The following is a 16,239-nucleotide window of genomic DNA, read 5'->3' on the forward strand; positions in this document are numbered from 1 at the left end:
CAAAAATTGACTACTGGGACCTAATTAAACTAAACAGTTTCTGCACAGCAAAATAAACTATCAACAGAGTAAATAGATACCCTAGAAAATGGGAGAAAATATTTGTGAACTATGCACCTGACAAAGGTCTAATATCCCGAATCTATAAGAAACTCAAGTCAACAACCAAAAACCTAACAACCCCATTGACAAGTGGGCAACGAAGAACAGGCACTTCTCAAAAGACACAGACACGGCCAACAAGCGTATAAAAAAATGCTCAATATAACCAATTATTAGGGAAATGCAAATCAAAACCACAATGAGATACTATCTCACACCAGTCAGAATGGCTATTATTAAAAAGTCAAAAAATAACAGATGCTGCCAAGATTGTGGAGAAAAGAGAATGCTTATACACTGCTGGTGGGAATGTAAATACGTTTAGCCACTGTGGAAAGCATTTGGAGATTTCTCAGAGAATTTAAAACAGAATTACCATTCAACCCAGCAATCCCACTACTGGGTATATACCCAGAGGAAAATAAATTTTGCTACCAAAAAGACACATGCACTTGTACATCCATCACAACACTATTCACAAGAGCAAAGACATTAAATCAACCAAGATGCCCATCAACAGTGGACTGGATAAAGAAAATGTGATACACACACACACACACACACACACACACACACACATATATATACACACACACACATATATATATATATACACATATATATATATATATATATACATACATACTGTGGAATACTACGTAGCTATAAAATACATGAGATCATGGTCTTTGCAGCAATATGGATGGAGCTGGAGGTCATTATCCTATGTGAATTAATATGGAAACAGAAAACCAAATACCTCATGATCTCACTTATAAGTGGGAGCTACACATTAAGTACACATGGACACAAAGAAGGGAATAATAGACACTGGGGTCTGTTTGAGGGTGGAGGGTGGAAGGAGGGTGAAGATTGAAAAAACTACCAATCAGGTATTATGCTGATTACCTGGGTGACAAAACTATCTGTACACCAAACCTCTTTGACATGCAATTTACCCATGTAACAAACTTGCACATGTAACCCTTGAATGTAAAATTAAAGTTGGAAAGAAAAAAGAAAGAAAGGAATCCTAAGAACCCATGGAGAATTCAAATACAACAAAGACTGACAAATAATCACCTCTCTATCCCCAAGTGCTTGGCCCTCAATAATTCAGGGCTTATTAAATAAATGAACAGATGAATTAATGTCTATTGGAGTTAACTTTGAGATCAGGATTAAACGTGGCATACGCGATTTTAGTGAAACAGATAACTGAGATTGCAATGGGCTAATTAGCCGACATTCTGCAATACGTCCTAGTCATTTTTCAGAAAAATTTTCAATCACATTAAGTTACATATGGACTCAGAATGGAATTAAAAATTAAATCTAGAGTAGTAAGCCATGCTGCAGACCATTTTACATTGTAGTTTATTATACTGTTTTTATAATTATGAAGTATTAATATATGCCAGATAATTATCAGTTCTATTTTCAAATAATTTTCTCTTTCACAATTAATGAAAATATTCCAATTTCTTAGTAGTCTTATTGTTTTCCCTGAAGAGTTCCAATAAGACATGGTTTTAAAAGGTACTTTAAAGAGATTGTTAGAATATGATTTTGAAGTTTATGGCTCAAAGATAAACTGATTTCTAACCAAATTTGTGATGAGTACAGTGAGCATTGGAGTTCCCGGCCTACCACCTTCTCTGCCATCTCTTGGTAACAATCACCCTCCGTTTTCTTGTTCACATGTCCCATGAAGAGCTCATATGCCTCAGGGAAAGCTGACTCCAATCACTGGATCTACAAGGGACGCAGGCAGCTCAGGCATAAACAGATCTGCACAAGCACATTCATTGGCCATTGGTAGGGTATATGGCCAAATTTTTAGTGTATATGACTTCTGTGAGACAGGAGGAGATATTTGTAGGCACTCCTTTGAAACAAGCTTTCTCCTCTGGGGAACAACTGAAGACACCATTTCTTCCACTGGATGGTGACACCTGGAGCAATACAGCCGACTTCCTACCAGATTCTCCATCCAACTGAGGATGAGGCAGACATCTGGAGAAAGAGGGGGCTGTGGGAGGTTGAGCCCAGCTCAACTAGGATTTATTGGCCTTCCTATAAATTCCAGCATTTCCACTAGGTGGAAGTGGTTGACATAGAAAACGGCTAAAGATATCACAAAAGTACAGCTAAGATGGAGATTAAGAGAAAGGACTTTGGAACCACACAGCCTGGGCCAACTCCCAGTTCCACACCCCTCTACCTATGTGATCATAGGGAGTCATTTAGATTTGTGCCTTGGTGTCATCTCTGCAAAATAGGGATAATAATGTTTATATCACAATACTATGAGTTAGTAACAATGAATTTTTTTAAATGGATTAATAGCATAAAGTGCCCAGAACAGTGTCCAGCACATTGTCAATCCCCCAATAAGAGGCAGCCTTTCTCAAGGTCCTTTTAGTCCTGAAGAGTCTATCTGTCAATCAATTATTTATAATTATGTTATGTAAAGCCTATGATACAATATTTCCACTTGCAAATTTCAGTACAAACTTCATAGCCAGGTTAACTCTTAAGATCAAGAATTGACTGCCAGTAGATCTAGAACTGAACCTAGAACTTCTGAACCACTTGGTCAATTCACCAAATATTAAATCCCTCTTATATGAAAGATATTGGATGTATAGATTCATTTAATAACAACTGCAGTGAGCCAGATAGTATTCTAAAGCTTTTAGTTTACAGAAGTAAACAGAAGACACCCAATCTCTACCCTCATGACATCCTTATTAGAGTGGCCATCTGAGTTCCATAACTAAGTCACATCCCCTCCCATTAAAATGTTCAGCAGTCCCATACAGGAAGAAATGTACAACTAGCTGACACTGTGATAAGTGTTATCATACCGTGAAACATCTGGTAGATGGGAGCAATAAAACAAGGAGAGGTTAAAGATGTGTTCCAGGAAGATATGGAGTTTGTCAGGCATGTTGGTATTAGGTAGAGGGGAATAAATGGCTCTCAATGAAGAGAAGAGGGATTGTGACAGGTGTAGTGGCAGAGGTGTGACCAGGATGGAAGACTGATTCAGAAAACACAAGGTGTCCCAGCACAGCCCTGCCTGTGCACAAAGTCACAGGGACTGGCAGAGCTCAGATCCTGGAAGACCACATAAGCCATGTTAAATTCAGACCTGCCATGATAGATACTGTGGAAGAGATTTTTGTCAAATAAGTGTTGGTCCCACAGGGTAGCAGAAGAAACTTGAGAGGCTTGGGTGTCTCCTCACAGGGAGCAATGGATAAAGGAAGCATGTATTAAAGAGTGTGAAATGTATCCCAAAGCAAATTTCCATTACCGATTTTCTGTTAACTGATTCAGATCACTAGAAACATCTAATTTATTTTTTAGACAGTTCCAAAAGATAAGAAAAAGCAAAACACTGAACTAACACCAGAATCTGTTGATGCATTTTGATCCTGAAACAGGATTCCATATTAAAGTCAGCTAGCACGTTTATGTTAATTTTGTTTAAATCAAACACTACTTCTTATGTGGCTATAGCAAATAATGCTTAGAGTCCTAGGAAATTACATTAGCTTCATATCTAGACATTTTGGCTGGAACTAAAATATCAAGTGTTGTTTATACATGAAATCATGTAATCTTAGAGTTGGAAGACCTTAAAGGTCATGTAGTACAATGTTCAGACCAACGCATGAGGCCACACTCTCCACAATGTCCTGCTTCTTTTAAAAGTCTTTCTATTTATTCATCCAGTGAATATTTGTAGATTACCAACAATGCACAGGGTGCTGGAGATACATGATACGTGATATGTTCTCTGTCTTCATGAAACTTACTTTAAAAAATTGATAGATGACTAGCAATTTAGACTGCTGTTTCTCTCCTACCACCGCCGACCCCCTTTCCTTAACATCAAAAAATACAAACCAACCTACTAGCCAAATATGTCAAAATATGTCTTGGAACAATGTCCACTGGCCTTCTGGGAGTAGCATGAATTCTATTCATAGCCTAGTCTATTCCCCATGACCTCAGCCACTTCTCAATGTTCAGCCCTTATCTCTCCCTGACTCTCTCTCTTATGATTTTTTAAAACTCACTGCACCTACCAGAAATAATAATAATGATTAAAGGGCCTCTACTCATAAATTCAAATGCCTAGTTGTTTTAGTAATACTAGCTTACACTTACATAGTACTTTCCATGAACCAGGCACTTTCTGAAGCACTTGATATGTGTTCACTCCTTGAATTTTCATAAAAACATTGTGAAGTAGGCACTCATTTTAGTCTTCATTTTACAAATGAATATACTGAGGCATGTAAAATCAAACGCCATACTTGTCAAAGGTAAGCTAGAATTGCATTGTGACACTATTAGTTAAAGAGTAATTAAGAGTAATGCAATGAAATCCTGTAAGAATCTTAGTATCTTATAGTGTCTAAATAAATATGTAAATAAATGCAGTTTTGTGTAATCACAAATTGTGGTACACTTTTTAGATGCTCGAGACTGATTTTTGTTTTGGATAAATCCAGGTCTGCATTGCCCAATATGGAAGCCACTAGCCATACATGACATACAAATCTTAATTAATTAAAAATTAATAAATTTAAAATTCAGTTCCTCTGTCAAATTAGCTACATTATAGAATGTGCAATAGCCAATAGCCACATGTGGCTAGTGGCTAGAGTATTGGGCAGCACAAATACTGAATGTCTCTATCATCACAGAAAGTTCTGTTGGACAACACTGATCTAGATGGTGATGAAAATGGCAAAAACCCTATCTATGAGAGAGAATGATGTATTGAAGGCCAGACTGAAGCCCTTGGGTTAGCTCCTGCCCTCCTTGACTCATGAGCAAAATGGATTAGGCAAATGCTTTATTTTCTTGTTCTTCCTCCTTTTTTATCACACAAATATCAAAAATTCATCATTAGCAAAATTGAAAATGCAAAGAAGTAAAATGAAAAACAAGTCATAAATTCTCCTAAGTTAGGTGATGCTACTTTGAAGTAGAAATCCACTTCTAAATAGAAGGTAATTAGTGATTAATTTTTGTTTAATTTTTCCTCTGAGTCTTTCAATAGCTAATAATGGACCTACTGTGATCTCACAATAATCTACTACATTTTACATATTAATATGCTTACTCAATAAGTAATTACCAAGAATTTCTTTAAATTAAAAAAAGAAAACTGAATTAACAGAAACAGGTACTCTACCCAGAGGGGAGAAGCGTAACACTTTAGTGTAGACTAACTCATTTCAACTATTAGGAAACCCAGGGAATCCCATCCTTTTACAAAAATATTTTCATACTCCCTTTAAAGAGCAGAGTGGGAAAATGTTGAGGAAATGAGGCCTTCCTGTTTCTGCCACATGTGTTTAATTATCCAGCTGCAGCTCCAAAATAAGTAAGATCGGAAAATTCTTTCAGATCTCCGTGTAGCTGAATATCAAAGGAAATTTGGGTGATTCTAAAACTATTGTACTTCTGGTTCGTGTTGGAATTATGAGAGTTCTCCTGTTTTTGTCTCTAAATATAGAGTTCAGTGATTTGAACCTATGGAATCTCCCTGCAGTCTTTTTTCTTTTATATGACGACTATATAATAAGTGAAGAGCATTTTGAAGAGGGCAAGTTCACTTTTTTTAGTTGAGGCCAAAGGCCACAGTAAAATCTTTGTTCTTTTACTTTTATTTCTAACTATGCCTAATTTTTTTAGTATTCTCTGAAATTTTATTAAATTCTTTTTATAAATATCTTTCTGGATCTTTTAAAACTTTTTTTCTTCAACATCTAAGAAAAAACATGTCACAATAATATTGTGATGCTTGCCTTTGCTGGGCAAAATATGTTTTTCAGACGTTAATCTTTATTACAAATATAGATCTGAAGGAGCTTTAGGCAGTCAGTTCAGTCTAACCTGTTTCCAAACAGGTCTGATGAAGCCTGAGCTGGTGATGCCACCAAGGCAGATTTTATGATAGGGAGAAAGTGCAATATTTGAAGGGTAGAAAACAGCAAGAAAGTGATTCTGTGCGCTGAGCTTCAGGACTCTGACCACTATGCTTCCTCACGGATGGGTCACTTCTTTTTTTCTTTTTTTTTTTTTTTTTGAGACGGAGTCTCGCTCTGTCGCCCAGGCCGGAGTGCAGTGGCGCGATCTCGGCTCACTGCAAGCTCCGCCTCCAGGGTTCACGCCATTCCCCTGCCTCAGCCTCCGGAGTAGCTGGGACTACAGGCGGCCGCCATCATGCCCAGCTATTTTTTAGCAGAGACTGGCTTTCACCGTGTTAGCCAGGATGGTCTCTATCTCCTGACCTCGCGATCCGCCCGCCTCGGCCTTCCAGAGTGCTGGGATTACAGGCGTGAGCCATCGCACCCGGCCCGGATGGGTCACTTCTTTAGGAAAGAAAACCTCTACTCCACTGTTAAATGTAAGAGCTCAGAAACCATTGAAATACTTTTTATATAATGTTAAGGAGTACAAGAAAGTGTAATGGTAGAGGAACAGTCAATGCAAAAAGTAAAATCAATACATGCCAATAAAAAATGTGAAACCTTCTAAAGGAAAGAATATATACATTTGCCCAAGAAATTCTTCTATTTAGAATAAACAATTTTAAAACATGGATATGCATATTTAGTATGAGACATTAACATGTAAATTATCTTTAAATAGTTTTTTATTATATTGTTAAAAGAGTAAAGAATGTGTGTTGGGGTCCTAGGTGTGGAAAGTGATGCTGAGCCAGAATTAGGAAGATACTCTGTTATTGAGAAGCTGGGAATTTGAAAGGAAGTTTGGTATCTGAGAGAGGTGAAGGAGGGAGGGGGCATAAACATTTTTCCACAAACACTCCCAGATCAGGAATTTGTGTGACTAAGGCATGATGCATAACTGAAATCTAAAAAGGTGTGACTAATGCCTGTGTAATTTTTTGTGGTGCATTTCTGTTCATGAAAGTAAAACAATGCCTTTTCCAAGTTTTAGTATTTGGAAAGCTTCCCATAGGGAGTATCAAAAATACATATTCTTCCACTACCTTTACTCTTCCACAATTAATTCTGGCTTCACTCCTCACCTATTGTGGGACTGTGAACCAGTGACCTAGCTTCTCCATGTTGCTTTTCCCACGTGTAAAATTGAGATATTAATAGTACATATGACATAAAGTTGTTATAAGTTGTTATAAATGAGGTAAAGATTAAATAAAATACTAATTGAATCTAAAACATAAAGTTGTTATAAAGATTAAGTGAGATAGTGCAAATAAAGTGCTTAGCACAGCGCCTGGAACATAGTGAAGTCTGCAATAAGTGGAAGTCATTCAAACTATTAGGGTCTTTAAAACCACAGGGATATTTCACAGGAACAAAGCAGTGATCTATATAGTATGTCATATGAATGGGAAAAATAGCCAATGTGACAAAAGAAGATACACATCAGTGTCTGTTGAATTAAGGCTCTGGTTGGTGATAATTCTATACCTGTGGATTTCCGAAGACCAGCTGAACAAACACAATTCCCAATAAATATACTTGTCTGCCTTACGAGGCAGCATTCTGTCGAACTGTGCTATCCAATAGAGCTTTCTCTGATGATGGAAATATTCTATTACTCTCTACCCAGTACAGTAGCCTCTTGCCACATGTCATAACTGAGTACTTGGAATATGGTTAGTATAACTGAGGGACTGAACTTTTATTTTAAATTTAGATAGCCATATGTGGCTGTGGCTGCCATTTTGGACAGCACAGCTATAGAAAGATACAAATAAACAGCATACATAAGTCATAAGTCATATATTTAAAACAACTTCTCTTTTCCTCACTCTACATTATGCCAAAGCCAAAAGACAAGTTTAAGTACCTTGCATCATCCTTTTATTATGGCACACTAGAATACTCAGCGTAGGTATATGCTGAAGGGGCAAAGAGCAAGGACATTCCAGTAGCATAGCACATCTAGAACCCAGATCTCAGTTTCAAAGTACCATTATTCACTAAGAGTACACATGAATTTTTGGAGACGTGGCTGATTCCGAGTTGGAGATGAAGAATACAAAGTCAAAAAACAAAAACAAAACAAAACATGATGCAGTTACACAAAGAAATTTCAATATTTGTTTGCATTTTTGAAAGATATTAAAGGTTGTCCAATCGTTGCCTACAGCAACACTTCTTAAAATTCCATTTATCCCATTCCTTTCCATATCTCCCGCACCCTGCATCTGTCTTAAATATCAGACTCTCCCCCTTTTCCTCTCAATTCCCACTAAATTCAGTCTCCAAACAAAATTTGTATAGCTCCTCACCTCTCTCCATTCTTTTGCTTTCTCCTCAAGTCTTTCTTTTTTCCCCCTTGAATAAATCTTTCTAGTGCAGATACCCCTTCCTTGCTTCTCCTTTCCCCATTCTCTGATTTTATGGCACAGAAAGCAAGGAACCAAGATGGCAGATTCAACATATCTCTTAGAAATTACAAAGACCAAGCTAACAAATTCAGATTTCTCTTATAGACGTGGTCAGAGGGAGAAAGTATGGAAGTACTTGTAACTTAATTTTTTCTTTCTACTTATTTTTGAGTCCTAAGCACATGTATTATATACTATTTTCTGAGACCCTTTCTAATGTCATCTAACCAAGTTTCTGAAAGCACCACACACAGTTAATCCTATACATGCAATTATTTGTTGACTATATAATATTATAAGTAAAATTACTTCCTGCCAAAAATATATCCTCATTTCAGATAGCAAGTTCCCTGTTAGAATGAGGTATGTATTTCCTTTCCAAGCATTATTATACAAAAATAGAAATACACCTAGAGGAATAACACATTAAACAACTATCAAACGTTAACATTCAACATATCTGTTTCTGCCCTGGCAGGTTCCTGGCATCAGACAATGCCTGGAATGGAACTATTCCTAAAAGTGGAAGGGCTGATGGCATTGTACCATCGTAGGTACAATGCACGCCATGGGGTGTAGCTGGGAAGGGTGTGTTTGGGGTGGAAGCAAAAATCATAAGGTCACCCGAATGCTAGTTGAGGGGTAAGACACACGAAGAGTAAGCAAGATGCCCCCAAAATTCCATTTCACGGTATTGCCTCTAGTCGTCCTTATCCATTCATCAAATAATTAAGGTATGAACAATATATAATTAAATAATTTTGGCAAAAGGTGAGTTTCTGTTATTATACAAAGGCTTAACTAATAATGTGAGTCTTAAGGTTTCATACTATGAAATGCTAGAAAACATAACAGACGTTCTCACACCTTTCTCAGTTTCTATCTTGGTGCCTCTATTAATACACGAAAATAATGTGCTTCCCCTTTACAGCCATGAAAATCATATTGAAAATGATGCATACTAAACAAAAAGATACTGTGTCCTTGAAGAATCAGGCCATAAACAAGACTTCTTTTGGCATTCACTAGAAAAATCTCAAACTCATGAGGACCTTTTTCCAAGGCCATCTTTTAAGTAACGCAAATTTGGAAATACATGAGAGGAAATAATTTGTTAACCAGCTGTCTTTCTTAAACATCTCATTAAACAAATTAATCCATACCAAAGGGGCTACCATACAAGGTCATAAATGAAACAAGTCTTGCATATTTGTCACTAGGGCAAAAGATACAAAAGAGATAAAATTCTGGGAACAAACTATGCTGTTTAAACTCTCACAAACACTTTCTAATTAAAATTTGGAATAGAACGGAAATCAACAGTACTCAGTCATTTCTTTACATCAACTATATTTAGAATAGGACAAATAATGAAAGATTTAATAATGTTCATATGGAATGCATTGAGATCAGGCAGCTTGGAGAGGTTGGCTTTATAGACAAAAATACTCTATGATTCCACTTATATGAGGTACCTAAAGGAGTCAATTTATAGAAACAGAAAGCAGAATGGTGGTCTCCAGAGGCTGGGAGGAAACGTGAATGGGGAGTTGTTTAATGGGTATAGAGTTCGTCTTGGAAGATGAAAGGAGTTCTGGAGATTGGTTGCACAACAATATGAATATACTTAACTCTACTGAATTGTACATTTAAAAATGGTTAAGATGGCAACTGTTCTATTATGTGTATTTTACCACAATTAAATTTCTTTAAAAGAGAGAAAAAATACCTCAGTTGTTTCCTGTAATATTCAGATAGAATTCTGGAGGAAAGATCGTCTAAGTCCTAGTTATGTTAGATCCTTCAAGATCCTGTCCCTCCTTACGTCTCCCTCTGATGACGTCTCCCTTCAGCACTGACACTCTGTACTGCTAGCTGTACTGGAAAGTTCCTAGATGGCAGTTTTTTTCTCAAACTCTGACTCCCAGAACATTTTCTACTTTTTCCCCTGGGAGATGATGGGGGATTTACCCTGAAGCTAAGGAAGCTAAGACAGCAGGGCACTTCACCACCATTCTCTTCCAAAGCCATGTACTTAATTTTTTTCATTTTATTTTAAACCACTCCCTCTCTCCCCACATACACAAAAAATTTGTATAAGCTTCAGACCCCACTAAACTTGCATCCACCTCTGCCAAGGTGTCTTATATATATAGTAGGATATCCCTTCCTCCAGGACATAAGCATCCTGTCCCAAACCCCCTTTTGGTGATGTGTGTATTGTCACATTGTTTACGTATTGTCACAGACACTGGATTGTACTTACCAGCCTTCCAAACCAAGCTGTGTGTGTTTTCTAAGGAAAGGGATTTTATTTGTCTCTCTACTTCAGTTCCTGAAACATAGTACAGGATAAGTGTACAAGAATTGATTTAAGTCAGTTCACGAACTGACTTAAGAAAGCTGGCAGAAGAGTCAGGACTAAAATCGAGTCTTTAAGTTATGGGTACGCAAAGGCAGACAGAGTGGTATAATGGCCATTGGAGACTCAGAAGAGGGAGGGTAAGAGGAGGGCGAGGGAAGAAAATTACATATTGATTACCACATACACTGTTCAGGTGGCAGGTACACTAAAATCTCAGATTTCACCACTATACAATTCATCCATGTAACCAAAAATCACTTGTTCCCCAAAAGCTATCAAAATTTTAAAACTCTTTTTAAATAATTAATATAATAATAATAATAAAATCGAGTCTTTAGTATTTCCCCTACCCCTAACTCATCTTTTCTTCTTTGCCTAGTTAGGGGCACACAAACTTCCCTCTTAGAAATATAGGGATTTGCTTGCTATGCAAAGTAAACATTAAACAGGTTTAACTAGACAGCTCAAGTTTTATGAAACTAATCTTTATGTCAAGACACTGAAGGCAACTTAATAAAAACAGGGATTTAGATATGAATAAACTATATACAAACTTGACGTCCTACTTGAAGAAAAAGTAAAAGTTGGGCTCAGTATTTCTGTCTGCATACTGTGCAAACAATTCCTAAAATACAAATCATACCTCTAAAGTGAAATAAGGAAAAGTTCCTCATACTGAAAAGCTCCCTCAGAATGCATTTTAGATCCTCAAAAACTTAAGGACAAGTTCATATGTAGGTATTTCTGTGTGCTTACACAGGATTAATACTTTTGAATCATTAACAAGTCAAATTAGTAAGAATAAAAATAAACAATATTAATGTGTACTTAGTATGTCAACATTTTGCTGTTTTCCCATGCATTATTTTATTTTAGCCTCTTGATGTCTCTATGAGGTAAGTATTATTATTATTATTATTCCCATTTCACAAGCTTTGAGAGAATAAGTCAAGTGTTCCAGGTCACCCAGCCAGAAAGGTATTAAGCCAGGACTGGCACTCAATGCCTGGCCTCCAAGCCAAACCCTTTCACCATTAAGCTGCATTATCTCTCTTTTTTTGAAGTTATCTTTTCCAAAGGCCATTTTCAGTCCAGGACAAAGCAGTGAGGCCGGCTGGGGCATCAGGGCACTCCCTGAGCTCACAAAGGGATAATGAGAATATTCAAAAAGATCATCCTGCTAGAGATGAGTAAGAAAACAGGGAGATATAAATTTTATGTACTTAAAAAATGAATCATGCAGACATTGCCTGAGTTATAAGCAACTATTTCAGGCTAGATGAATTTTGTGAAATAAAATTTTGGGGACCTTAAATTGTGTATATATTATAGTTAAGTTGATCCCTGAGTTTTAATTTACGGGTATATTTTATTTAGAATCACAATTGTTTTTATAATACAATAATAACAAAACCGTCACTCTGAATAAACAGGAATATATGTTTATGTTGTACAGTAACTTGTTCCAAGGAGTTATTAAAACTGTAAACCAGACTTTACAGAAGGCAGAGGCAAAAGGAAAGCATGTTGCTATCTTATCCTGCAGTGCAGATGAAGATATCAAAATGGGGTATTGCCTGCCAGGTGTATTGTAAACTGTGATTGGAAAAGGAGACAAAATAAGGAATCAAGATATCATGCCAATGCTTTAAAAGAAAGTGCTTTTGTTTTCAATATTTTTAAGGTTAACAGAGTGAAAAGACTGAATTAAAATCAATGGTCAGTTCTTACATGCTTCTTCAAATTTCCCAAACCATGTGTTTGCCTTCTCTATTTGCTATCTCAGAGAGTTTTGAATTAGAACCACTTTCCTTCCTAAATTTAAAGCAGTAATAAAATGTTAAACTGCAGAAATGAAATGATTATGTATATGTATATGTGTATGTATATGTATATGCATATGTATATAACATAGTTTCAGTAGTACATTACTGAAAACATGAAAGCCTAACTAGATAATTACTGGTACAACACATTTCTTCTGTTGCACATGTACCGGGAAGAAAATCAAATTCAAAAGGAGTGGTGCAAGATGGTGGACTGAGCACATTTGTTTATCCTCTTTTCTTCTCTAGATCTTTTCAAAAGTAAAGATATAGAGAAAACATAGAATCACAAAAAAGAAAGAACTGGAGATGGACTATCAGCAAATAAGAGTTTTAAATGAAGTTACAGGAGGCAAAAAGTAGAATGAGGTGGGATAACTAGTGAAGTTATCCAGAAAAAAAGTCACAGCCCAGAATGTGTTCGTTTTCAACTCTTGAAAGTCAACCTACGTATACATCAGAAAGGTGTTAATTATGGGTGTAGAACAGAATGCAAATGCTTTTAAACTTGACGTGTATACGTGAAAGTATAAGTGATGTAAATTAGGAAATGGAAACAAGGAAGAAAGTTTAAAACAAGAGTTTAAATTAGTTTAAATCACTATTGTCCTTTTATGGACTGAGAAGCCTAGAGATACTGTCTATTATCAGTAGATACACAAATAGCCAAGAAGTCATAAAGTACTGCTAGAACAGTGCTATAACAAAGCTGGAGGGTGACGGTGGGGGTAGCAATGGTGTGGAGGACATAACACTGCTAAATCTCCATCGATTACATCAGAAAGTCAATAAATTACACCAAAGTGCAAAATTAAGAAATAGTGGCATAGTATACATAGCATGTAGATTTATGAAGTTGAGGTATGAAAGAAGTTTGAGACAGAAACACTTAGGGAAAAAAAAAACTGTTGTCTCTGGGAAACAGAATTACATGTAGGAGAAGATGGGGCAAGGAGCTAATGTTATTACAAATTTTTCCATATTTTATTTTTTTAAATGGGCATGTATTATGTTTGCAAAATTCTAAATGCATATAAGAAAAAATAAAAGCCTTCAAACATCTCTGTAGGTTCAGCATATCAATTTACGTTTGATACGCATGGTGGGGAAGTAAGGCAAATGCCTGAAAAATGCAGAACCTGCATAGAAAGAATGTAGAAGTTCCTATTTAGGACTGTGTTATGACATGGTGATGTCTGTTTCTATTCCGGCCAATAAATCCTGGCAGTTGGTCAATTGTTATCCTGTTAAAAGGTCTGGAGTGGAAGAATGGACTGTGTTTTTCGTAAAAAGCTTGCTGACAAGACCAGAGAGAGTTTCCACTGGCAATTCTATTTCACAGTCCTTTCCCTTCTTTGGGCAACACAAATGATGGCAATGGGCAACCACATGGCCTCTAAAATCTTTTCCTTCACTCCTCTGAGTGCAAATCTCTACAGCACAGAAATGCTCTGGATAGTTCTGTGCTTCTGTGATTGGTAATATCCCTTGGACATGTTTAAGAACTATAGAAGCAAAATAGCTTGATTTTCCAGAACACGGCATCTTCACGATATAGCATCTACTAATTTAAGATAAAACGGTTTCATAGATCCAAAAAGGTAGAAAAGTTCCAGTGATTCATAGAGTTAATTGGTCAATTATTGCCAATTAGAATTAGTCAGAAATATGCACACACACACACACACACACACACACACACACACACAGGACAAAACATATCTCTGCATAGTTCAACTTTGTTCCAAAAGGAAATAATAATCAATCCCTAAAACAACAGAAATGTCACTAGCCTGTCAAATCCTGGGTAGCACTCGGGCCTCAGAGAGTTAAATTCACGCCATATTAGGAAGGCATTAATTATTATTACAGAACAGAATGTAATAATATTACATTATTAATATACCAAATAATATTACAAATATTATTACAGAAAGTAATAATATTAAAATTGATATACTGAACCTATAATGTTATATAATTATTATTACATAACATTCTGTTTATTAGGTAAAAATGTAAATGATATAATTTGGAAGATGCAGTTCTCCTAAATGTAGCTCTCAGATTCCCAAAGCACTGGCCAGTAAGAAGGCTGCAGCTTGCCTACAAGTGACACACCTAAATGAGACCCAAGTGACTGAGTTAACAAATTCTTGTAACTATTGGCTCTAGGTGAATTTATGGGCAAACATAGGCAGCCTAGCACTGGAGGTGTGTAGGACTATACCACTTCAATTCCAAATCCATCTTTCTATGAGAATAATTCAGGATAACCCTCCCTCACTCTACTCATGTTCCTCTGGTGAGTATCATCTCTGCAGGTGTGATTGGTCCAGAAAGCCTGCACACTCTTCTGTGGCCGAGAGCCAGTAGATAGGCTGTATCTTCTTCCAGATATGCCTGGCCTGCCAGTTTCTTATGGGCTTTTTATTGCCAGCCTCAGTTTTTGCTAATACTAAGCTATTAAAAGCTAATCGCAAATTAATAATAACACATATCTGTCCATTAATTTAGAATTTATTTCATTCGGTGTTCATGCCAAATCAGAGGCACAGCTCCCATAGACATGGCACACAAGCTTCACCAGATTTACAGACTCCCATTCCCATATCTCGTCTTTAATTCTGCCTTCCTGCTTGTCACTACAGATGCGCTCTCCATGCTCCCAGCTAAAGCCAATCAATTCTTCCACTTGTGCTGTAGACACATCTACTTCCTCTTGGTCAAGAATATCATTTCAAGGATAGATACCCCATTCTTCATGATGTGATTATTATTGCTTGCCTGTATCAAAACGTCTCATGTACCCCAGAAATACATACACCTACAATGTACCCACAAAAATGAAAACTTTTAACTTTAAAAAAATTTAAAGAACATTATATCAGCAAGTTTCACCCCCTCTCCTGCAGCATCCATTTTTCTCTCTCTATCCATTAAGATACACATGTACTACTATTTCTCCCATTTAAAAAAAACTTTAAAACCTTGTTCTTGGTCCTGCTTCTTTTTTAGCAACCATTCTTGTTTTTCCTCATCATTTATATCAAATGTTCTCAGAAAGAGTTGCCTAAACCTACTCCAATTGTTTCAAATTCCTCTCTTTACATTCTCCCCTAAATCCATGTCAGGCTTCCAAAAATGTGGAGAACACCAATGAGCTCCCCCTGGCTGATGCAATGGTCAATTCTCAGTTCTCACCTTACTGGAAATATCAGCAATATCTGTCATAGTCCTTCAATCTCTCCTCCTTGATGCCCTTTCTTCACTTGAATTCCAGGCACCTTGGTCTCCTGACTTTCTTCCTACCTCACCAGATGGCCCTTGCCAGTCTCCTTTACTGTTTTTTCTTCCTCTCCCAGACCTCCCAACATTGGAGTACCCCATGGCTCAACTGTTCTTCCGCTTCTTTAATTCTTTTCAATCCCTGGTGATTTTACAATCTCTTTGACTTAAATACTATCCACATGGTCAACCACTCTCAAACTTATATGATACAGACAGGCCTATCACCTGGCCTGCTCCTA

At 36.8% G+C, this 16,239-nt stretch overlaps 1 long non-coding RNA gene across 5 annotated transcripts in view, besides 3 other annotated features; it reads right to left on the reverse strand.

The window, feature by feature from the left end:
• Positions 1–16,239, reverse strand: part of CAV2-DT (CAV2 divergent transcript) — an 83,411-nt gene that overhangs the window by 20,146 nt on the left and 47,026 nt on the right. The gene's annotated exons all lie outside the window — the stretch shown is intronic.
• Positions 6,227–7,426: an enhancer, noted in NCBI's record as "P300/CBP strongly-dependent group 1 enhancer chr7:116082532-116083731 (GRCh37/hg19 assembly coordinates)". NCBI's record gives its function as "activates an origin of replication core promoter dependent on BRD2, BRD4, P300/CBP, MED14 and CDK7 cofactors, with strong dependence on P300/CBP, by STARR-seq in HCT116 cells {active_cell/tissue: HCT116}" and the evidence as "EXISTENCE:reporter gene assay evidence [ECO:0000049][PMID:35650434]".
• Positions 12,183–12,510: a silencer, noted in NCBI's record as "conserved region 2 (CR2) negative regulatory element (NRE) in the greater CFTR locus". NCBI's record gives its function as "modestly represses an SV40 promoter coupled to the HS2 beta-globin enhancer in the reverse orientation in transfected K562 cells {active_cell/tissue: K562}" and the evidence as "EXISTENCE:reporter gene assay evidence [ECO:0000049][PMID:18436892]".
• Positions 12,183–12,510: an enhancer blocking element, noted in NCBI's record as "conserved region 2 (CR2) negative regulatory element (NRE) in the greater CFTR locus". NCBI's record gives its function as "modestly blocks activation of a gamma-globin promoter by the HS2 beta-globin enhancer when located between the enhancer and promoter in the forward orientation in transfected K562 cells {active_cell/tissue: K562}" and the evidence as "EXISTENCE:reporter gene assay evidence [ECO:0000049][PMID:18436892]".

The sequence above is a fragment of the Homo sapiens genome, chromosome 7 (genome assembly GCF_000001405.40).
Source record: "Homo sapiens chromosome 7, GRCh38.p14 Primary Assembly".
NCBI classification, from domain to species: Eukaryota; Metazoa; Chordata; class Mammalia; order Primates; family Hominidae; genus Homo; species Homo sapiens.